This window comes from Homo sapiens, chromosome 15 (genome assembly GCF_000001405.40).
Source record: "Homo sapiens chromosome 15, GRCh38.p14 Primary Assembly".
Lineage (NCBI taxonomy): Eukaryota > Metazoa > Chordata > Mammalia > Primates > Hominidae > Homo > Homo sapiens.
Window position 1 is genome coordinate 99,237,851 of NC_000015.10, and position 24,372 is coordinate 99,262,222.

The 24,372-nt window shown below is 39.4% G+C and overlaps 2 protein-coding genes and 1 pseudogene across 44 annotated transcripts in view, besides 2 other annotated features; 2 read left to right on the forward strand and 1 right to left on the reverse strand.

The window, feature by feature from the left end:
- TTC23 (tetratricopeptide repeat domain 23) overlaps nucleotides 1-13,375 on the reverse strand; it is a 114,903-nt gene extending 101,528 nt beyond the window's left edge. For 9 of the 20 annotated variants that reach the window (XR_007064487.1, XM_047432956.1, XM_047432955.1 and 6 more), the window contains exons 1-2: nucleotides 11,321-11,731; nucleotides 10,338-10,460 (exon numbers count right to left, since the gene is read on the reverse strand). Coding sequence is in view for 9 of the 20 variants with exons in the window: in XM_047432956.1 (XP_047288912.1) it covers nucleotides 10,338-10,362 (25 nt within the window). In the remaining 11 variants the exon portion in view is untranslated. Of the gene's footprint in view, nucleotides 1-3,514; nucleotides 3,710-7,538; nucleotides 7,661-10,337; nucleotides 10,461-11,320; nucleotides 11,732-11,771; nucleotides 11,950-13,304 lie in introns of those variants that run through there. The other 11 variants (XM_017022518.2, XM_011521939.2, XM_047432959.1 and 8 more) reach the window with 7 other exon arrangements.
- Nucleotides 13,106-13,155: an enhancer, noted in NCBI's record as "active region_10150". NCBI's record gives its function as "activates an Ori minimal core promoter by ATAC-STARR-seq in GM12878 lymphoblastoid cells {active_cell/tissue: GM12878}" and the evidence as "EXISTENCE:reporter gene assay evidence [ECO:0000049][PMID:35858748]".
- Nucleotides 13,406-13,945: a silencer, noted in NCBI's record as "silent region_6866". NCBI's record gives its function as "represses an Ori minimal core promoter by ATAC-STARR-seq in GM12878 lymphoblastoid cells {active_cell/tissue: GM12878}" and the evidence as "EXISTENCE:reporter gene assay evidence [ECO:0000049][PMID:35858748]".
- The window catches only part of LRRC28 (leucine rich repeat containing 28), a 139,249-nt gene continuing 128,507 nt past the window's right edge, over nucleotides 13,631-24,372 (forward strand). For 14 of the 23 annotated variants that reach the window (NR_135757.2, NR_135753.2, NR_135758.2 and 11 more), the window contains exons 1-2: nucleotides 13,631-13,691; nucleotides 18,048-18,275. Coding sequence is in view for 14 of the 23 variants with exons in the window: in NM_001321676.2 (NP_001308605.1) it covers nucleotides 18,108-18,275 (168 nt within the window). In the remaining 9 variants the exon portion in view is untranslated. Of the gene's footprint in view, nucleotides 14,135-18,047; nucleotides 18,276-24,372 lie in introns of all 23 variants that reach the window. The other 9 variants (NR_135755.2, NR_135759.2, NM_001321675.2 and 6 more) reach the window with 3 other exon arrangements.
- On the forward strand, nucleotides 19,675-22,426 carry HSP90B2P (heat shock protein 90 beta family member 2, pseudogene; annotated as a pseudogene). The gene has a single exon (NR_073383.1). The product of NR_073383.1 is annotated as a heat shock protein 90 beta family member 2, pseudogene (transcript).

Consider the following 24,372-nt stretch of genomic DNA (forward strand, 5'->3'; position numbering starts at 1 on the left):
TATAGACCAGGCTTTCAGAGATCCCTCCCCATTCCTCCTCTTCAAACTCCAATTCCATTATCTACTATAGATAACATTTTAAATTTCATCCTATTGCAACTTGTTTATTTATTTTTTATTATTATTATTTTTTGAGACGGAGTCTCACTCTGTCACCCAGGCTGGAGTACAGTGGCACGATCTCGGCTCACTGCAACCTCCGCCTTCCAGGTTCAAGCGATTCTCCTGCCTCCGCCTCCCAAGGAGCTGGGATTACAGGCATGCACCACCATGCCTGGCTAATTTTTTTTTTTCTTTCAGTAGAGATGGGGTTTCACCATGTTGGCCAGGTTGGTCTTGAACTCCTGACCTCAAGTGATCAGCCCACCTCGGCCTCCCAAAGTGCTGGATTACAGGCATGAGCCACTGCACCTGGCCACAACTCATTTAGTTATTCATTCCACAACTATTTACTGAATTCTGGCTACAAACAATGCACCAGGCTAATGTATTACGCAGAAAACAATAACCCCAAGAAATGTAAAATGGAGCAGGAAAAAAGATCAGGTACACATTAGCACAGTACTAGGTGCTAAAATTGCTAGAAGAGTGGCAAGTGCTAAGACTTCAGAAATGGGAATCATTGCTGCTGCAATGACCTTGCTTGTTTGGCTAAAAAGACTCCAGACAACAAGAAGGGAGAAGAGAAAGCATCCCAAGCAGAGTGAATAATTACAAAAGGCTTGGAAGTGGGAAAGTGAAATACATGCATGGCTAACTGCTGGTGGTTCAATTTGGTGTATGTGAAATGAGGCTATAGAACAGCATTTTCCAAGCCAATTGCTGCAGTACACCAGAGCCACAAGACATTAACGTACATGCCATTGAGGAGGGTTATTGACAGAGGTGATCAAATGAGTTGGTAAACACAAATATTGGTTCCACAAAAGGAGGATTCTGTGATCAAATAAATGGGTAAACAGGTCTTCTCAAAACTTTAATATAATACCTTGTGAATATCCCAGAGTGGGTACAGTATACAGCACTTTTCCAGTCTTTTTTTGACCATGAGATTATCTTTTTTCTTGAGCACCTATTAAATCTTATGGAAATAGCACTTTAAAAACATTGTTTGGGAAACCCTGAGCTAGGGGGAAAGTAAAATGCTGGATTTCAGGCTAAGAAGGCATTCATTCATTTCAGGCTAAGAGTTTGATTGACTCATTTCCTCATAAAGCTTATATAGCACAAAAATATGAAAAAGAGAAAGAAGGAATCAGCCAAAGGTCAAACTGTGAGAATGCTAGAGAGGCTGATCTACAATGTAGGTGGTGTTCTCATTCCTGGGTACCTCCTAAAAATGTTAAAGGTCGGCTGGGCATGGTGGCTCACGCCCGTAATCCCAGCAGCACTGTGGGAGGTCGAGGCATGCAGATCACAAGGTCAGGAGTTCAAGACCACCCTGGCCAACACAGTGAAAACCCATCTCTACTAAAAATACAAAAATTAGCCCAGTGTGGTGGCATGTGCCTGTAGTCCCAGCTACTCTGGAGGCTGAGGCAGGAGAATCACTTGAACCAGGGAGGTGGAGGTTGCAGTGAGCCGAGACCACACCATTGCACTCCAGCCTGGGTGATAGAGTGAGACTCTGTCTCAAAAAAAATAAAAATAAATAAAAAATAAACAAATAAAAATAAATAAATAAAAACGTTAAAGGTCAATACTTCAGATTTAACAGGAAAGCTTTGCCTACACCCTGTTGTACAGAGACACAGTGCTATTTGAGATCCTAAGATGTTGGCTAACTTTTTTCTAATAACTTCTTGCCTTATGCTTCCTCATCTGTTCAACCCCACTGGCTGATAAGATGACCATTTCAACAGGTGCTGCAGTCTAGGGAAAGAGCAGTAGCCAGAGATGGAGAATCTGAGATTCAAGAACCTGTGCTGTCCCAACTACCCATGTGATTTGGGCAATACCAACTAATATATACATAACACTTTATACTTTCACATGTTTTATCTCATGTGGCCCTTACAACCATGTAAGGTACAGAGGGTAGCTATTATCATCCCCATTTTATAAATAAAGACGATGAAATGAACCTAAATCAGTTGCACATCACACAGCCAGAATTAGCACCCTGGTCTTCTCATAATTTGGGGGTTTCCCATGACATCATCCTGCCTTTCACTGACCACAGTCTACAGCAGTGGGAAGCAAATGCTGTTGCTTTGGAAACCTAAGCCTGCATTTTAAAAAGTGATCATACATTTTTATAAACAGGAATGCAACATCTTCAATAGATTTAACTATATTTTCTTATCTTCCATTTAGTGGGAGGCAGAAAAGAAAGTTTAAAGATGAAATAAGTAAGAGGCCCTGCAGTATTTGTTATTCTGGGCCTCTGAACCTAGTGTTAAACTTCGAAATGGATTTAACTTTTCTTTTTTGGCTTAATTGTAAAAACTGGTTTGTCTCATGCTGCCTCTTAATATTGCATCCTTAAAAGAGAGGTTATATTTATTCTGAGCACTCATAGGCTCATCTAACTTGTATATATATATTTTTTTTCGCCAGTTAAAAAAAATTGAGCCATCATTTTAAAATTAGGAGTTTCACATGAAGATGTAGATTTTGGGGTTTCTGACTTCCTTTGAAAACTCAGAACACTTGTCAACACTAGATCTATGCCACCACAGGCAATAATCAGCTAGGGAAGAGGGGGAGCTGCCCTGGGGGCAAGGGTACTCTCCAGTTTGCCTGTTGCCACCAATCCCTATTGGCTACCGGACATGAAGGCAGCAAAGTCGTTCCCATTTGTCATTGTTCTTGTGTCTTATTGTAGGAAAGTAGGTCTCTGTATCCATTTCTCTCTTTCAAAGTGAAAGGCCAACAGAGAAGGATATAATTTTCCTGGCCAACACCACTCATTTTCTGTTATTTCGTCTAATCTAAAGCACCACTGACTATAAAGATGCTGCTTTTTTATACACCATTTGACTTGCAATTGTAACGTTCACTCTAATTTCAGAGATGTTCAAATGCCAAAAAAAATGTACGTCTCTGAATCAATGAAAGGAGGAGGTATGCTACCTGTCTGGCTTCTAGAGGCATTTGAGTCTGTGGCCTTACTTTAAATGTATGTGTTTCAATGTATGTGGCATCACACAGTAACATCCTCAACATAAAAACATACTTCTCAGGCAGGGCGCGGGGGCTCATGCCTGTAATCCCACCACTTTGAGAGGCTAAGGCTGGCAGATCACCTGAGGTCGGGAGTTCGAGGCCAGCCTGACCAACATGGAGAAACCCTGTCTCTACTAATACAAAAAATTAGCCAGGTGTGGTGGCACACACCTGGTAATCCCAGCGACTCGGAGGCTGAGGCACAAGAATCGCTTGAACCTGGGAGGCAGAGGTTGCAGTGAGCCGAGATTGTGCCACTGCACTCCACCCTGGGCAACAAGAGCGAAACTGTCTCAAACAAACAAACAAACAAACAAACAAAAAACATGCTTCTCAGTTCACTTACTTTGAGTTACATGCTTATCATCAGCCACTTTTCTTTGTAGTAGCTATAGCTGGGGCTTAAAATTTCATCAGACATCAGCCCAGGTCCCACAAACCATCCTCTTCTTGCCAGCCGTGGGTTCAGCTTTCTAGGTCTCTGAATCACAACTGCCAATGAGACCTACTCAGTCAGTTGATACTGTTCCTTCTGCCAGACCTGCCCAGTAGAATGTTAAAGCACATAATCAGCCCCAGATCAGGGTGTTAGGAAGAAGAGGTCTGAAGTGGAGTCTCAGTCTTCCAAGTGGTGATGTTCAAAATAATAACTGAAATAGCAGGAGGGCCAACCAATCTATATAGGTGCCAACTAGGCTGGAGCTCAGTTCTGAAGGTCCCCTGCTTTTCCAGGTGTGAACCGTTGGAGGCTGACTTGTGGAGAGATGTAGGGGAGCCTGAGGAAGGGGCAGGGGCCCTCAGGGCAGTGGCTTTTAGGAAATAAAAAACCTCATCAATCAGGGACGGTGGCTCATGCCTGTAATATCAGCACTGTGGGAGGCTGAGATGGGTTGATGGCTTGAGCCGAGGAGTTCAAGGTCAGGCTGGGCAACATGTCAAAACCCCGTCTCCACTAAAATTGCAAAAATTAGCCGAGTGTGGTGGCGCTCGGCTTCTCCAGCTACTTGGGAGGCTGACGGGAGAGGACTGCTTGAGCCCAGGAGGCGGAGGCTACAGTGAGCTGAGATCACACCACTGCACTCCAGCCTGGGTGACAGAACAAGATCCTGTCTCAGAAAAAAAAAAAAAAAGTTAAAAAAAAGAAGCCATTATGACTAGTTTCTTAACTAGTGAAAGTGTACGCTAGTTAAGAAGCAAACTTACCCATATGTAAGCTAACGCACTGGAAAAACACTCTAAAAAGATAAAAAATACCAAAAAAATAGTGATAAAAAAATAACAGAAAAATAGAAAATCTGAATAGATCTATAACAAGTAAAAAAATTAAATTAGTAATTAAAAATATTTATACAAGGTTAAGCCCAGGCTCAGATGGCATCAGTGATGTATTCTACCAAACCATTAAAGAAGAAACAACATGAGTATTTTGAAAACTCTAACAGAAGATAGAGAAGGAAACTCTCACTTGTTCTATGAGGTCAGTATTACCCTGATACCAAAGCCAGACAAAGACATCACAAGAAAATAACAAATGAATACCCTTCATGAATATGGACACAAAAATCCTCAACAAAATATTGGCAAACCAAATCTAGCAACATATACAAAGGATAATACATTATGATCAAGGGGAGTTTATCCTAGAAATGGAAGGTTGGTTTAACATCTGAACTCATTAATATAATACACTATACAGTAGAATGTGGTCACAAACCATCTGATCATCTTGATAGATGCAGAAAACACATTTGGCAAAATCCATTATCCAATCATGATTAAAAAAACTTCCCCAACCTGATAAAAGGCTGATAAAAGCCTGATTTTACAAATCAAAGTGGATTAAAGACTTAAATATAAGACCTGAAACTATAAAATTACCAAGAGAAAACACTGGGGAAACTCTCTGGGACAGTGGTCTGGGGAAAGAATTCTTAAGAAAGATCTCAAAAGTACAGGCAACCAAAACAAAAATGGACAAATGGGATCACATCAAGTAAAAAAGCTGCTGTATAGCAAAGGAAACAATCAACAAAGTGAAGAGACAACCCACAGAATGGGAGAAAATATTTGTAAACTACCCATCTGACAAGGGATTAATAACCAGAATATATAAGGAGCTTAAACAAAACCCAATAGGAAAAAAAATCTAATAATCTGATTAAAAAGTGAGCAAAAGATCTGAATAGACATTTCTCAAAAGACATGCAAATAACCAACAAGTATATGAAAAAATACTCAACATCACTGATCAGCACAGAAAGGCAAATCAAACTACAATGAGGTCATCTCACCCCAGTTAAGATGGCTTTTATTAAAAAGGCAGTAACAGATGCTGGTGAGGATGTGGACAAAGGGGGACACTCATACACTGTTGGTGGGAATGCAAGTTATTACAGCCACTGTGGAGAACAGTATGGAAGTTCCTCAAAAAGCTAAAAATAGAAGAACTACCATATGATCCAGCAGTCCCACTGCTCCATATATATCCAAAAGAAAAGTATATCAGAGATATCTGCACTCCCATGTGTACTGCAGCTCTATCCACAACAGCCAAGATTTGGAATCAGCCTAAATGTTCATCAACACATGAATGGATAAAAAAATGTGGTAGATATACACACAAAACAGAACGAAATCCTGTCATTTACAGCAACATGGATGAAACTGAAGGATATTATACTAAGAGAAATTAACCAGGCAGAGAGAGACAAATTTTGTATGTTCTCACTCATTTATGAGAGCTAAAAATTAAAACAACTGAACTCATGAACACAGAGAGTAGAATGATGATTACCAGAAGCTGGGAAGGGTATTGGGCAGGGAGGGAAAAGTGGGGATAGTTAATGGGTACAAAACGTAGTTAGATAGAATGAATAAGATCTAGTACTTGATATCACAACAGGGTGACTACAGTCAACAATAAGTTATTGTATATTTTAAAATAACTAAAAGAGTAGAATTGGAATAATTCTAACACAAAGAAATGATAAGTGCTTGAGGACACAGATACCCACTTACTCTGATGTGATTACTATACATTGTATGCCTGTGTCAAAGCATCACATGTATCTCATAAATATATACACCTACTACTATGTACTCACAAAAATTAAAAATTAAAAAACAAAACCAAAAAATCCTGATTTACAAAAACCTAAAGCTAATATCATACTTAATGGAGCATGTTTGAATGTTTTCCAAGATTGGAAACAAGGCAAGAATGATTTCTCTCACCACCTGTAGTCAAAGTTGTGGATATTACAGTCAGAGCAACAGGCAAGAACAATAAATTAAGGCATGAAGATTAGAAAGGGAGAAATAAAACATTATTATCAGCTGACATAACCCTCTATGTAGAAAATCCTAAGGATTCCACAATAAATAAACAAATAAATCGCCCCCCCCAATTAGAACGACTAAATAAGTTCGGCAAGGCCATAGGATACATAATAAATAAATAAAATTGTATTTTTATATGTCAGCAATAAATAATCTGAAAATAAAATTAAGAAAACACTGATTCAAAATAGGATAAAGAGAATAAATATGTAGGAATAAATTTAACAAAAGAAATACAAGACTTGTACAATGAAAATCATACATTATCGAAAGAAATTAAAGATCTAAATACATGGACATTCCATGTTCATAGATTAAAAGCCTCAATATTAAGATAGAATACTCCTCAAATTGATGTATCGATTTAATGTAATATCCATCAAAACTCAGCTGTTTTTTTGCAGAAATTAACAAGTTGATCCTTATTATGGATGAATTAAGATGGAAATACGAGACTAAGAATAAATAAAACAATCTTAAAAAAGAAGTTGGAGGACTCACACTTCCCATTTTTAAAATGTACTATAAAACTAAAGTAAAAGTAATCAAAAGTGTTGTACTTAAAAATTTTCAGTTATGAGGTAAATAAGTTCTAGAGATATACAGCATGGTAACTATAGAAAATAATTGAAATTTGTTAAGATCTCAGATGTTCTCATCACACACACAAAAATGGTAATTATGTCAAGTGATGAATGTGTGAGCTAGCTCTATTGTGGGAATCATTACAAAAGGTACACTTATATCAAAACACCATGATGTTTACCTCAAATGTATATAATTTTTAGTTTGTCAATCATATTTCAATAAAGCTGGGGAAAAGCCCTCCCCAAAACAACGTGGTGGTACTGGCATAAGAAATGACATATAGAGGCCGGGCGTGGTGGCTCATGCCTGTAATCCCAGCACTTTGGGAGGCCGAGGTGGGCGGATCACTTGAGGTCGGGAGTTCGAGACCAGACTGGCCAACATGGCAAAACGCTGTCTCTACTAGAAATACAAAAAATTTAGCCAGATTTGGTGATAAGTACCTGTAATTCCAGCTACTCGAGAGGCTGAGGCAGGAGAATCGCTTGAACCTGGGAGGCAGAGGTTGCAGTGAGCCAAGATCACACCACTATACTCCAGCCTGGGTGACAGAGCGAGACTCCATCTCAAAAAAAAAAAAAAAAGAATTAATATATAGAAAAATGGGATAGTGTTGAGAGTCCAAAAATAAACTCTTATATATGTGAATTATTTTTTTTAACAAGCATGCCAAGATAATTCAATGGGAAGAGAACAGTCTTTTCAATAAACAATAAACAGTGCTGGTACAACTGGATAGATACATGAAAAGAATAAAGTTGGATCTCTACACCTCACACCATATACAAAAATTAACTCCAAATGGAGTAAAGACTTAACAGTAAGAGGTAAAACTATAAAACTCTTTGCAAATATAGGAGTAAATCTTCATGAACTTTTTTTTTTTTTTTTGAGACAGACTCTCGCTGGAGTGCAGTGGCGTGATCTCGGCTCACTGCAACCTCCACCTCCCAGGTTCAAGACATTCTCCTGACTCAGCCTCCCTGACTCAGCCTCCCAAGCAGCTGGGATTACAGGTGCCTACCACCACGCCCAGCTAATTTTAGTAGAGACGGGGTTTCACCCTGTTGGCCAGGCTGTTCTCGAGCTCCTGACCTGAGGTGATCCACCCGACTTGGCCTCCCAAAATACTGGGATTACAGGTGTGAGTCACAGGGCCCAGCCTGTTAGGCAAAGACTTCTGAGATATAACACCAAAAGCATAAGTGATAAAAGAAAAAAAAAGATAAATTAGATTTCATCAAATCCAAATCTTTACTGCTTCAAAAGACACTATTATTAAAGTTAAAAGACAACCCACAGAATGGGAGACAATATTTGTAAATCATTAATCTGATAAAGGACTTTAACCACAATATATAAAGAACAATTAAAAATCAGTAACATGGGGCTGGGCGTGGTGGCTCACGCCTGTAATCCCAGCACTTTGGGAGGCCGAGGTGGGCAAATCACGAGGTCAAGAGTTCAAGACCAGCCTGGCCAACATGGTGAAACCCTGTCTCTACTAAAAATACAAAAAATTAGCTGGGCATAGTAGTGGGCACCTGTAATCCCAGCTACTCAGGAGGCTGAGGCAGGAGAATCGCTTGAACCTAGGAGGCAGAGGTTGCAGTGAGCTGAGATCGAGCCACTGTACTCCAGCCCGGGTGACAGAGTGACACTCCGTGTCAAAAAAAAAAAAATTTATTAACATGGGCTGGCGCGATGGCTCATGCCTGTAATCCCAGCACTTTGGGAGGCCAAGGCAGGTGGATCACGAGTTCAGGAGTTCGAGACCTGCCTGGCCAACATGGTGAAGCCCCGTCTCTACTAAAAATACAAAAAATTAGCTGGGCGTGGTCGTGGGCACCTGTAATCCTAGCTACTCGGGAGGCTGAGGCAGAAGAATTGCTTGAACCCGGAAGGTGGACATTGCAGTGGGCCGAGATCGTGGCACTCTGCACTCCAGCCTGAGCGACAAAGCGAGACCCAGTCTCAAACAAACAAACAAACAAACAAAAACCAAAAAAACCAAAAAACAATCAGTAACAAGATGACAACTCAATTAAAAAAATAGGCAAAATATTTGAAAGACATTTTACAAAAGAAGATATATGGATAGTCAACAAGCACATGAAAAGATGCTTCATATCGTCAGTCATCAGGAAAATGCAAATGAAAGCTGTAATAAGATACCACTTAAAATCCAGCTGAATGACTACAATGAATAAGACAGATCATAAGGAGTGTTGGTGAGGATGTGGACAAATTGGAACCCTCATACACTCTGGTGGAAATGTAAAATGGGAAATTCACCTTGGAAAGCAGTTGTGCAACACCTTGAAAAGTTACACCCAGAGTTACCATATGACAGTAATTCCACTCGTAGATATACACCCAAGAAAACTGAAAACACACGTTCATACAAAAACTTGTACCCATCTTCATAGCAGCATTATTCATAATGCTAAATACTGTACTGTATTTACTGTAATACAATTACAATTAGTACAATTAAACACTATATTTAAATACTAGAAGAAATCCAAATGTCTGTTAATTGGTACTGTTAAATAAAATGTGGATTATTACTTAGCAATAAAAAGGAATGAAGTAATGAGACATACTACAACATGGATGAACCTCAAAAACATTATGCTAAGTAAAAGAAACTAGATGCAAAGGATCGCATAATGTGTAATTCCACTTACATGCCCAGAAAAGGTAAATTTATAGACAGAAAGTTTTTTAGTGATTGGGGCTGGGGATAGGAAACCAGGACTTGCCTGCAAATGGGCACAAAGTATTTTTTTAGGATGATGAAAATTTTCTAAATTTTCTAGGATGATGAAAATTTTCTAAATTTTCTAGGATGATGAAAATTTTCTAAATTTTCTAGGATGATGAAAATTTTCTAAAATTGGAATGTGGTGATGGTTGTGATTTTCTAAAACAATCATTGAGTTATATCCTTAAGACAAATGAACTTTATAATATATAAATTATACTTCATTAAAGCTGTTAAAAATAGCTATGAAACCACAACGCAGTTTTATGTGTAATTCTGGTTTTTATACATATTATGACAAGACTTTTATAAAGACGGGGCAACCATGACTCCCCAAGACAGTGTGGCAGCGGTCCCCAAAAATCTTAAAGAAGTAAACTCAATGCTTTCGAAGACTACAAAGAAGTGCATCAAAATTTATATTATTCAACAATGATAAGGTAAATGTATTCGGGTAAGAAGCATGGTTACTAACCTGTGTGCCAGTATTTACACAGCATGGGGCCCCTTAGCTTCTGGTCTCTGCTCTGGTCTAGCCATCTTAAATTCCACTGTCAGTTTTATTGTCTTCAAATATTACTTTCATAAGGGGTGCCTCCTGTTCCAAACACAGGACCCAAACCCCTGATTTTGGGAATTCCGGCTCTTTATATTTCTCATGCTGCTTTTTAAAATTTGTAACCAAAGTTTCCAAATGAACCTTCTGCCGCAGTCAGAACCAACTCTTCCTCAGGCTGCATGTATTTGCTAACAACTCACTCACTAGTAGGGATGCCACTTCCCTTATTTTTCTCTCTGAAATTCTGCCCATTGCTCAGGCCCAAATTGAGTCTTACCCATACTGTGAAGCCTTCTCTGAATAATTCATCTCACATTGAGCTGAGCTCCTGAAGCACCTGTGCTCTACAACAGTCATCCGGGCATTAAGAACTGTTCAGAAGTTTTAGTTTAAATGTTCTGAGCCTCATTTGTCCCTGCTCTTGAGGGGCTGGATTTTATTACTTTATATTCCCCTATATGGATTAACACAGGCAACTTAAGAAATAGTCATGTTCATCAACGTTTCCTTGATAAATTCTTTTGTATTTGTTTTAATTAAAAATGTCATTTTTGAAATATGATTGCTGGATTTTTTTGAGAATTTACCCTTACATGCTGATTCTGCTTCAGGTATCTGTAGTATGTTTTGTTCAGCCATTAGCAGATCTGTCCCTGGAATCCCTAATCCACAAATATACACAAAATTTGGGTTCAAGCAACTCTATTTTCTCCTATATCTTTTAATAGATATATTATCTATTATGCCAGGTATGACAATATATAAACAAAAATATCCATATAAAAATTACAATATTACTAAATGTCCTTCTAAATCCACACTTAAGCAACAATAACGAAGCACAGTTTCTTAAAGTAGAAAATGATCTATAGTTAATCTTATTATCTTGCCTCCTTTACCTTTCAAAAATCCACTGATAATCTGGGCATGATGCTTTCAAACTTCACCCTAAAGAGAAAAATGCTCTCTGAACACTCTTCTTCCTGCTGTCTTTAAATTGTGCCTGTATTTTCTCTGCTTTTCCTTTGACACTCAATCACTCCTTTAAAACTTGTAAAAAACCGGAAAAGTTTCTGTAACTCTCCAATCTCCAACTATGTCGTAAAATCCCTTGCCAGTTTACCCAGTCTGCTGGAGAGGCTCACCGTTTCTTTTTCGAGCGAATTACACAGTTGTCTTGGCAGCGTGATTTGCCCTCTGGTTCCTGCTTTATCAGTTTGGTGATTCTTTGTACAGATTGATAACCATGAAAAAGTCTAAAGTAGGGCAGTTCCGGAGCAGCCTTTTCCCATAAAGCAAGCGGGTACCTCACAAAACTCCAGGCAAAAGAATGAATGATAGAGCACTCACCAATAGCGAGTGGAGAAGAGTATTTTGTCGAAGTTTGCAAACCAATCTTTGGGAGCCAGAGGTGGGAATTTTAAAATGAGGTCTTTTCCTTGGAATTTTCTTAAAGTGGTATCGTTGCCTGTTGATATTGAAGTTTGTCAAAGAACGTGAAATCACCAGCTTAGAGGATTTTTTTCCCCTTTAAGAGAGACAAAACGTGCGAATTGATTCTCTACAAATTGTGAGAACTTCAAGAGTGGGGTCATAAAGTATTATCAAATATAATCACTTGGTAACTTTTGTGTCAATGTGGGGAGGAGGTGAAGGTTATTTTAACATGATTCATTTTTCATGATCAAATATCAGATATTAATCACTGAAAAACAGTATTCCCCATTAAAAAAAAGAAATGAAAACTAAGAGGCTAACATTGTTTTCAAAAAACTGTTCTACTGTTAATCTTTTTTCTTTTTTGGGGGGTGTAACTCTTCATATATTAGCAGCAAGTCTTATTATTTGGGCTGACCATTAAACACCGTATCTTTGTTTTTACACAAAATGTGGATTTCCTCATTTTAAGACCAGCAAAAAATTTCTGAGTGCCACGAATTCTTAGGTATTCCGAAACTATCTTAGAAATACATGACATATACCAACCATGCTGTATACCTGAATAGCTCTTGAAGACCAGATTTAATAGATAACTGATAATTTTTATTATAACTCATACCTTGTTTTAAAACCAATGTTTTTTATTTAATATAACTCTGCTTTCTAGGTTATTCGTCTCTATGAATAATTAAGTCAGCAACTGTAAAAACTACTTCATTATAAAGTTAAAGTTCCTTGACAAGGAGCCTCGCAAACTCATAGACAGGCTTTCCACAGAACAAAAAATATCAGCGGTTGTAGTAGAGGATTATACTTTAAAATCTTCATTTCAGAAGGAAATTTGTCATATTAATGAGACACTTTAAAAAGTGTCTTTTAAAAATGTTTCCGAACTATGCTTCCAAGTATTTTTAACAGCATAAAGCCCTCTTTCATGCTATTTCGCTGACATAATAATTTTCGTCTTGAAGAAATACATATTGACGGCCTACTCAGTCAGGCTAGGAAGTGTCATTGTATTTAACTCTCTAAATTGTTCCTGACCTTTTTAGCAATCTTTACTCAAAATAAACCTTGGGTGTTTGAAGGGCAGAGACTAGGTTACGTCCTCCTCATCTTTGTTATCTACCAGTTCGTAGTGACCCCTTAAATCCGGTGCTTAGACTCACTACTTGCTAAATAACGTTGGCTTCGTTACATAAACCCACTGGCCTGTTTTTCAACGGTCAGACTGGCGCTGTTAGTCCCTGTGTCATGGGATTGCTGTCAAGGGTTCAACGAGATAATCTATAAACAGCTCTTAGAACGAACGCTCAACGTGGGATCATTGTTGTAATCCCTCAACGTGTGCTCTGAATGAGAAGCCGAGTGACTGAATGAATGTATGAATGAAGGAACAGGTCAGTAACTGGCGGTTCCCGAAGTTGGAGCCGACTAAATTACCCCTTCAAGACGCTAAGCAAAAGCCACTCCGTCGACATCAAACCCCACGCCGGAGCCGGAAGCAAGAGTAGAGCCGCGGGCGGGGCCAGCATAGAGGAAGTAGCGCTCTCGGCCAATACACAGATCGCTTGGCAAACGAGCATTTTCCCGCGCCTATCGTGAAAGCGCGAGAACACAGGGGATTATCGCGAGGTTCCGTGCTCCTCTCCCGCTCCCTCTTCCCCAGCTCCCTCTGGCGCGGGTTCCGCTCCACCCCCGGAGCCCCGCCCCCGACGCCCGGCGCTCCGCCCCGCCCTCGCCTGGCTCCCTGCCCCGCCCCGCCCGCCGTCCCCCGCTTGGCTTCCAGCGCCGCTTGCGCTCCGGAGCGCTGGCTCTGCTGGCGCTGAGGTGAGTAGAGCTGTCCGCCTCGTCGGGTGATTCAAGTGGCGAGGCTCTCTGACCCGGCCCCCCGGCGGGGACGCCCCAGACGTGGTCCTGCCAAAGCGTCCGGGTCGCGGCGAGTGGGACAGCGGAGCCGTCCGGGCCTCGGGTGGCCACAGCTGCCGGGTCCTCCTCCCACTCTGCGGCCCGCGGCCCCTGGGACCCGAGAACCCTGATACCGGGTCCGTGAAATCCCTGCTGCTGGGCTCGCTGCTTCCCAACTGTAACGATCTCAGTGGCTGGCTAACTCGGGCGAAACGGCGTGTGTTTTGCCTAAGACTCTGCCAGTGTTTGTTACCACAGCTGAGAAAATAGCCTTTTACAAATGCTTTTAATATGTAGCTTATAGTTCTCTAATCTCCAGCGTTAGGAAATTGGAATGCGTATTCTACTAAATTGAGTACGGGGAGGTCAGTATAAGGGACTCCTTCCTTTCAAAATACTCCTTAATATGTGTGGAATTTTGTTGAGAGGTTTTTGATTTTTTTGTTTTGTTTTTAATAATAAGATAGATTGGTGTTCACCTGTCAGAAAGCTCGTGTGTAAGTGCAGCTGTATACAGCTGATATTAAGTAATACTATTTGCCTTAACTACATAAGAGGTAGTATAACTATACAAGAGGTAGTTTGCTTAACTAGGTAAGATGTAGTCAAGTGAAATGGGGTAAGAAAATTACCTTGTTAAAGGCTGTGTATGGCCCGTGAATGCATACTGCAAAACTGTGAGCATTGTTGATGCTTTATTGCTATTATTGGCAGTTTTAGGATTTCATTTGTTTAGATTTTATCTCCCAAACAGCCTTTGTAGCAATTTTAACAGAGTGTAATGGTGTTTTTGAGGCAGCCAATCCCAGCCAGAACATTCAGAAGGAAAGCCGTCAGGTTACAGGGACTGTCTTATTGAATCTTCCTTCAGTGAGTGTGGTTTTGCATTATAGGGCGGCGGTGCACACGCTTTGTAGTCAGTCCACCTGCGATGGAACTATGGCATGTTACCCTCTGAGAAACTCAGTTTCCTCCTCTACAAAACGGGCTACATAATGTCTATTGCAGTGCATGGTTGTAAAGATTAGACATCCTTGTGGCATGTAGCAAGCTTATAGGCTCTATCCGTGGTCTTGACATAGTTGGATGAAAAATCAACCTTGCAATGTTCTTCCACATGTCATCAGATATTAGAAGGCCTACTTTAAAATTTTAAGTCCCTGGATACATGTGCAGAATATGCCGGTTTGTTACATAGGTAAACGTGTGCCATGGTGATTTGCTGCACCTGTCAACCCATCACCTAGGTTTTAGGAAGGGTTACTTTTAGTTACTGTGCTAGATGCAGGTATGCAAGCGTGAAGAAAACAACGCAGTCCCTGCCCTCAGGATTTCTAAATAAGTTTCGGAAGGGTTTATTTACAGGCTTTTTGGCTTTATTGACAATAGACAGATGCAACGATAAATATTTAAGTGACAAATTGTGAGGAGTCCTACGAAGAAAAAACAAACAGCCAAGTTCCTCTGAAAGAACACCAGGGGAATTACTTTGGGATAGGGAAGTGATTTTTTTTTTTTTAAGACTGAGTCTCGCTCTGTCGCTCAGGTTGGAGTGCAGTGGTGCGATCTCGGTTTACTGCAAGCTCCGCCTCCCGGTTTCAAGAGATTCTCCTGCCTCAGTCTCCCGAGTAGCTGGGATTACAGGCGCCCGCCACCAAACCCAGCTAATTTTTGTATTTTTAGTAGAGATGGGGTTTCGCCAAGTTGGCCAGGCTGGTCTCGAACTCCTCACCTCAGGTGATCCACCCTCCTCGGCCTCCCAAAGTGCTAGGATTACAGGCGTGAGCCACTGCGCCCGGTCTCAGGAAGTAATTTTTATGTTGAAATCTGGAGAATGATGGGACATTGCTTTCTAGGCTAAGAGGAGACCAGCAAGTGCTGTTAGGGGTTTAGTAGCTTTGAGGATTGGAAAAGCCCAGAAGCTTGGTGAGAAGCCAAGCAGAGTTGCTGGAGAAGTGGGTGGGGGCAGATGGTGAGGCACCCTCAAGGCCTAGTATGAGTTGATTTTCTAAGTAAGAAGTTTCTGAAGGGTTTATTTAGTAAGATGTGTACCGAAAAGAGTGAGATGTAATTGGATGTACATTTTTAAAGGCCCATTGCTGGGATTAATGTGTTGGAAGTGACTAGAGTGGACACAGGGAGACTGGTAATACTGTTGGCCAGGCAGGAGATGACTGTGGCTTGTGGTTTTGGCAGATGGAGAGATTTGGATGGATTTGAGATGTATTTGGGAGATAGAGGCCACTAGCCTTGTGATAGATTGGAGGTGGTCAGAATATGAAAGGATGGAATCATTCATGACTTCCTGCTTCTCCGGCTTGAGCCACTGGGTGGATGGAGGGGTGAGCCATTTACTGAGATGGGAAAAACTGTGGAGATTCGGATTGATGATGAAAATGGAAAGCTCTTTGAATGTGTTAAGTTTGAGATGGTTGTGAGACATCTAAACTGCTAACAGTTTCCTAGTTCAGTGAATAATTACCTATGAAGTTTCACTTTCTACACAGAATCATTGATGTTATTTGTAGTCTACTTCCCTTTGCTTTACAGGTAGGATAATTAAGATGTGGAAAAATTATCTTGCACAAAGTCACATTAATATATCTCATAAAATAGGTGAGTAGGTGGAATAAATGTGGGAAAGTATTGGATCCTTACGTTGCTTTGGAAATAGTATTTCATACTTTGCCTTTTTATATAAAATGGCAAGTGCTAGCTCATTAGCCAGGAATTAGAATTTGAAAATAATAAAATATAGCCAGAAAATTACAAAACTCATGTTTATTGAAAGCTTATGTTGCTGCCTTTTGTACTAATTTGGTATTAATTCCCAGTGAAAATCACTTTCCTTAAGAAAAAAAATTATTGAAAGGTACTTTCCAATAGAGAGTTGGGAAAAAGAGCTGAGGAAAACAGTCAAATCTTTAAGCAGAGCTCAACTTCTTTGTAGTTGTTTCAGCATTTCCTTAGTATCCTGTGGAATCTTGTGAGTCAGTGTCTGTGAAGAACCCAAGCTTTGAAATCCACTGGACCTGGTATCAAACCCTTGCTTTTATCCCTTGTGAACGGTCTAACCTTGGACAAATTACTGAAGCCTTGAGTTTGTTTCTTTTTGTGTTAACTGATGGTGAAGTTTGTTTTAGCTCTGTGCCTAGTGGATAAAACGGCAAATGTTACTTGTCTTCTTGCCCTTGTCAATTTTGGAGCTAGAAGAGAATTTATAATAATCTGCCCTGGACTCAGGCCTTTAAACCAGTACATTAATTGCTATCTCCATTCTGCATATTAGGCAACTGGAGACCCAGAGACATTGTAATATTATAGAATAATACAGGATTCTTGTTTCTGAGTGCAGTGTTTCTTCTTTCATTGAAATAATTTAAACTAATGAGACTGTGTGGCCCTGGATCTATTTCTTTGATGCCTCTGATAATCCATAAAGCTAAAAACAAAGAGGCGAGGCATCGTGGCTCATGACTGTAATCCCAGCACTTGGGGAGGCTGAGGTGGGAGGATTGCTTGAGCTCAGGAATTTGAGACTAGCCTGGGCAACACAGTGAGACCCCCATCTCTACGAACAAGTAAAACAATTAGCTGAGTGTGGTGGTGCTCTCTATAGTACCAGCTACTTGGGAGGCTGAGGTGGGAGGATCACTTGAGCCCAGGAGTTGAGGCTACAGTGAGCTATGATTGAGTCACTGCGCCCCAGCCTGGGCAACAGAGTGAGACCCTGTCTCTAAAAAAAAATAAGAAGAAAGAAAAGAATAAAGAGATAAAGAAAAAAATCAGAATATAGGACAATATTTATATATTAGGAAGTGAAGAAAATGAAGCTATTAGTGCTCTAGATATAAATAATATATATTTTAATATTTTTGAAGTACCTTAAGCTAAATACAAAATGAGGTAGTTCATAAAAGAAATGGGGTTTGCTGCATTTGATTTTTAAGCTTCTCCTTTGGTTGTATGTTATGAAACTGGTCACTGTTTTTCTTACACAAGGTTTCCTATCTCAAGTGCAAAAACTATTTTTTTCCATTAGGACTATTTCTAATAAGTAATAAATATTGCTTAATCAGAGTATTTTTATTAAATTGTTATTCATTTTAATCTCCTCCTAAATATGTGTGACAGTTTTAGTTTTGAAAGTAAAATGTAGGATTGAATGTATTAATTATTTTTTTCAGTGTCTTCAAGTGGCTCTGTGTGCTAACTGGTTTATATGGCAATTCTTGTAAAAAATCTTACAATGAATAAATTTTCTCGTTCTCTTTATAGAAATGGACCAATTTTGACAAGATATAGTGCTGCAGCGTGCCTGATGGGATATATTCAGTCATGGCGTCCGAACTTTGTAAGACGATCTCTGTGGCAAGGCTAGAAAAGCACAAGAATTTGTTCTTAAATTATAGGAATCTGCACCATTTTCCATTGGAGTTACTGAAAGATGAGGGACTGCAGTACTTGGAGAGACTCTATATGAAAAGGAACTCCCTGACATCCTTGGTACAGTATTATATTACACTACTGAAAAATTATTTATACATGTGGTCCTGATCAAGATACATTTACATACCCTAAGGTATTCAGACCAAGACTTATATCCCCTGTTGTTATATATACAGTTAATATAAATACACACACAGGGGTTTCTCATTGGCTATGAATTTGTTATCCAAGTTCGTGCAGTTATGAGGTTGCCGGAGAAGTTGTGTAGGAAAGCAAAATACTCACTGATGTATGACTTATAAAGTTAGTACCCATTCAGAAACCCATCTTCGTTTAGCATGTGCTTCTGTCCTGACTTGTAATTTGTTTGTGTGTTAAGCTTCTCAGGTGATTCTTGAATATTACAGCATTCACCAGACCAGTTAAAAAGTAAACGAGAAAGACCAAAAATGCTTTTGAGGTACAGGCATTAAAGGGAGAATGATTTGAAAATTAAAGCATTAAGAGATGCACTTGGGAAGCTTAATGTAACTTTTCAGTGTTTTGAAAGCAAAACCTTTATGATTGCCCTGTGAAACTCAAATGATTTTGAATTGGGCTAGCATACAATTTTTTGGAAAAAATTTTGCCACAAAGGCAACATTTAATTTGCTCTTTTTATGTTCTAAGAATAAGCACGTAGTTTTCATTATAATCTGAATTGTATTACATATAAGATAAACTAAAAGTTTTTCAAGAGAATGTCCAAATCAAGCTTTTTATTCCTATTATTTATTGTAAAATTTGGTCTCTGTATTAAATGGATTTACTTTGTATGGCCTTTTCTGGTTATCACTTAACCTTATTTGAATCTTGTACTTGAATTCTAGTGCTTACTCATTTTAGATGATTTATGAAATCTTACTACTTTGTGAATTTACCCATTCTTCATTCCCTTCCCTATACTGGACTTTGCTAAATATCTGGAAATTGTATCTTATTGGCTTCAAGTATATGGCATGTTTTCCTGGAAAAGTTTTATTTAATCTATGTACAATGCCTATAGTGGGTAGAAAGCATTATAAAATTAGTTTATCTTTGCTCTGTCTGGAAGTAAATAGATACGTATGTCTTGTTCTTTTGTGATTGGCATATTGGCATATATGTTGAATGCCTACTTATATTTCTGAAATTAGATTTTTCAGTTTTCCAACTTGGAAAATCTATTTGCAGTTATAGGAATCCTTTTTTGCAAAGTCATCATCCCGTGCTATGAAACCATATTAGTACTTTTTAACCCTTTAACGAGAAGTGGTATAAGAAATATTTTGACAAGGATTATAGCCTAGATTTTCCCATGTTTGTTCTTTATGTATAAAGAAAAATTTGTGATTGGATTACTTATTAACTATCTGCCATAGCCCAATGGGGTAGACTTTGTTCAGAGAATTGACCTTTGCTTATAAAAGTTAAATTTGTGGGCGGACCACGCGGCTGGAGGTGTGAGGATCCAACCCGGGGGTGAGAGGGTGGAGGTGGCTCTTGCGATCGAAAGGGACTTGAGACTCACCAGCCACAAGCTGTGAAGGCCCTGTGGGTGCTGGGGCCTCTGCTGCGTCCTGCTGACCTTCGGGTCGGTCAGAGCTGTTGATGAAGTTGATGTGGAAGGTACAGTAGAAGAGGATCTGGGTAAAAGTAGACAAGGCTCAAGGATGGATGATGAAGTAGTACAGAGAGAGGAAGAAGCTATTCAGTTGGATAAATTAAATGCATCACAAATAAGAGAACTTAGAGAGAAGTTGGAAAAGTTTGCCTTCCAAGCTGAAGTTAACAGAATGATGAAACTTATCATCAATTCATTGTATGAAAATAAAGAGATTTTCCTTAGAGAACTGATTCTGACGCTTTAGTTAAGATAAGGCTGATATCACTGACTAATGAAAATGCTCTTTCTGGAAATGAGGAACTAACAGTCAAAATTAAGTGTGATAAGGTGAAGAACCTACTGCATGTCACAGACACTGGTGTAGGAATGACCAGAGAAGAGTTGGTTAAAAACCTTGGTACCATAGCCAAATCTTGAACAAACGAGTTTTTAAACAAAATGACTGAAGCACAGGAAGATGGCCAGTCAACTTCTGAATTGATTGGCCAGTTTGGTGTCAGTTTCTATTCCATCTTCCTTGTAGCAGATAAGGTTATTGTCACTTCAAAACACAACAACGATACCCAGTACATCTGGGAGTCTGAATCCAATGAATATTCTGTAATTGCTGACCCAAGAGGAAACACTCTAGGACGGGGAACGACCATTACCCTTGTCTTAAAAGAAAAAGCATTTGATTACCTTGCATTGGATACAATTAAAAATCTCATCAAAAATATTCACAGTTCATAAACTTTCCTATTTATGTATGGAGCAGCAAGACTGAAACTGTTAAGGAGCCATGAAGGAAGAAGCAGCAGCAAAAGAAGAGAAAGAAGAATCTTATGATGAAGCTGCAGTAGAGGAAGAAGAAGAAAAACAGAAACCAAAGACTAAAAAAGTTGAAAAAACTGTCTGTGAATGGGAACTTATGAATGATATCAAACCAATATGGCAGAGACCATCCAAGAAGTAGAAGATGAATACAAAGCTTTCTGCAAATCATTTTCAAAGGAAAGTGATGACCCTGTGGCTTGTATTCACTTTACTGCTGAAGGAGAAGTTACCTTCAAATCAATTTTATTTGTACCCACATTTGTTCCACGTGGCCTATTTGATGAATATGGATCTAAAAAGAGCGATTACATTAAGCTCTATGTGCGCTGTGTATTCATCACAGATGACTTCCGTGATACGATGCCTAAGAACCTGAATTTTGTCAAGGGTGTGGTGGACTCAGGTGGTCTGTCTTTGAATGTTTCCTGTGAGACTCTTCAGCAACATAAACTGCTTAAGGTGATTAGGAAGAAACTTGTTCATAAAACTCTGGACATGATCAAGAAGATTGCTGATGAGAAATACAATGATACTTTTTGGAAAGAATTTGGTACCAACATTAAGCTTGGTGTAATTGAAGACCACTCGAATCGAACATGTCTTGCTAAACTTCTTAGGTTCCAGTCTTCTCATCATCCAGCTGACATTACTAGCCTACACCAGGATGTTGAAAGAATGAAGGAAAAACAAGACAAAATCTGCCTCATGGCTGGGTCCAGCAGAAAAGAGGCTGAATCTTCTCCATTTGTTTAGCGACTTCTGAAAAGGGGCTATGAAGTTATTTACCTCACAGAACCTGTGGTTGAATACTGCATTCAGGCCCTTCCCGAATTTGATGGGAAGAGGTTCCAGAATGTTGCCAAGGAAGGAGTGAAGTTTGATGACAGTGAGAAAACTAAGGAGAGTCATGAAGCAGTTGAGAAAGAATTTGAGCCTCTGCCCAATTGGGTGAAAGATAAAGCCATTAAGGACAAGATTGAAAAGGCTATGGTATCTCAGTGCCTGACAGAATCTCTGTGTGCTTTGGTGGCCAGCCAGTACGGGTGGTCTGGCAACATGGAGAGAATCATGAAAGCACAAGCGTACCAAACGGGCAAGGGCATCTCTACAAATTACCATGCGAGTCGGAAGAAAACATTTGAAATTAATCCCAGACATCCGCTGATCAGAGACATGCTTCGACGAATTAAGGAAGATGAAGATGATAAAACAGTTTTGGATCTTGCTGTGGTTTTGTTTGAAACAGCAATGCAGCAGTGATTCGGTCAGGATGTCTTTTACCAGACACTAAAGCATATGGAGATAGAATAGAAAGAATGCCTTGCCTCAGTTTGAACACATCCTGATGCAAAGGTGGAAGAACCCGACGAAGAACCTGAGGAGACAGCAGAAGACAAAGAGCAAGACAAAGACAAAGAAATGGATGTGGGAACAGATGAAGAAAAACAAGAAACAGCAAAGGAATCTACAGCTGAAAAAGATGAATTGTAAATTATACTCTCATCGTTTGGATCCTGTGTGGAGAGGGAATGTGAAATGTAAGTCATTTCTTTTGGCAGAGACTTGTTTTGGATGCCCCCCACCAGTCCCCTTCTCCCCTGCACTGTAAAATGTGGGATTATGGGTTACAAGAAGAAGTGGGTTTTTTAGTTGATTTTTTTTAAACATACCTCATGAATGTAAATTTGTACTATTTAACTGACTATTCTTGATGTAAAATCTTGTCATGTATAAAAATAAAAAAGATTTCCTCCCCACCAAAAGTTAAACTTCTGGTCTTGTGGTAGTTTCTCAGCTTCAGTTTTTTATTTATGAAAATAAGAATCTACTGTCCAGTAAATTGTTCTTTATAATAGCTTATGGTAATACATTTTATTTCCCTGCAACCTTTTTAATCATCAAAGATTAAATTGTTGTATGTGTTTATAATGATGTATGTATTTTACTTTGTTTTCTCTTAGCTGCGATATTTGATTTACGTATATCAAAGAACTTTGTAAACTATAAAGGCTGTACAGATATGAGGGGATGGTGGGAATAGTAGCTGTCATCCAAAGCCCACCCATTGCCTGATTATATCAGATATATGACAGCTTACAGCACAGTTTTTGACAACAGGTAAAACATTACTTTTCCTAGAGTGCTGAAAACTAGTAGTGATTCTTAGGGCTTTTGGAATGTTTGCTGATGTTAAAATATAGTTCCTAAAGGAGAGTAGTATGTGGAATTTTATTTACAACTGCAATACTGCCCAAAACTGGGGAAAACGTTGAAAATATAGAGTATCTCGAATATGTTATTGCTTAATTGGCCTTTTACTTATGGATTTTAAACAAGCTTGGGAATCTGTCAGTCACTTCCATTTTCATGTTGTTTTTGTGTTTCTTAACATTTTTTGTTTGTTTGTTTCCTGTTAACATTTTTGCGTGTGTGTTAAATGCCTTCTCTCAGCATTTTCCTCCTTTCCTCTCCTACCCCTCAGCATGTTAGGCCTGTTGCTGAGAAGAGAAGTTGTCGCTAATACTCAACCTCTACTCTTCTCCCTTTTGCCCCTCAGTCGCTCAAAGCCGTGTAGTGGCTTGTATTTGTAGGACGATTGCATGACAAAAGTCCAGAACTTGGTGAATGCTCATGTTTAGAACTAAAGCACAAGAAAAAGCCTTTTAGCACATTTAAAAGAATAAACTTTTCAATTACAAAACCGGTATATGCCCTTATGTCAAACAACATAGAGGCGTATCTGGAAAGCAATCCTCTCTTTGTCCAGTTTGTGAAGCAACCAACATTAATAGTTGGATTGTATCCTTCTGCTTTGGTTCATTCATGCTGCCATAACAAAACACCATAAAATCAGTGGCTTATAAACAAATTTATTTCTTAACTGCTCTGGAGTTGGGGAAGTACAAGATCAGGGTACTAGCAGATTCGGTGTCTGGTGAGGTCTCTCTTCCTGGGTTCGCAGATGGTGCCTTTTTGCTGTATTCTCACATGGTGGAAGGGGTCAAGGGTCTCTCCCCGACCTCTTTTAAAGGACACTAATTCCATTCATGAGGGCTCTGCTGTCATAATTTAATTGCCTCCCAAAGGTCCCACCTCTTTTATTAATTTTAATTTTAATCTTAATTTTAATTTTAATTTTTTTTTTTAGATGGAGTTTCACTCTTGTTGCCCAGGCTGGAGTGCAATGGCTCTGTCTCCGCTTACAGCAACCTCTGCCTCCCGGGTTCAAGTGATTCTCCTGCCTCAGCCTCCCGAGTAGCTTGGACTACAGGCATGCACCACCACGCCCGGCTAATTTTGTATTTTTAGTAGAGATGGGGTTTCTCCGTGTTGGTCAGGCTAGTCTTGAACTCCTGACCTCGGGTGATCCACCCACCTTGGCCTCCCAAAGTGCTAGGATTACAGGCGTGAGCCACTGTGCCCGGCTGGTCTCACCTTTTAACACCATCATCATCTTGGGGTTTAGAATTTTAGTGTGTGAATTTGGGGAAACACAAGCTTCAGACTGTACCACCTTCCACCTCCTTGCTTGTGTTTATATAATTACATATATTTTTTATTTATATTTTTCCTTTTTAATAACAAAAAATCATACATATTTCTCTGGAAGTCTCTTTTTTCACTTCATGATATTCTCATTCCACTAACCTCTAGGCCAATAGATATATGTACATTCTTGTATGTATGTGTATG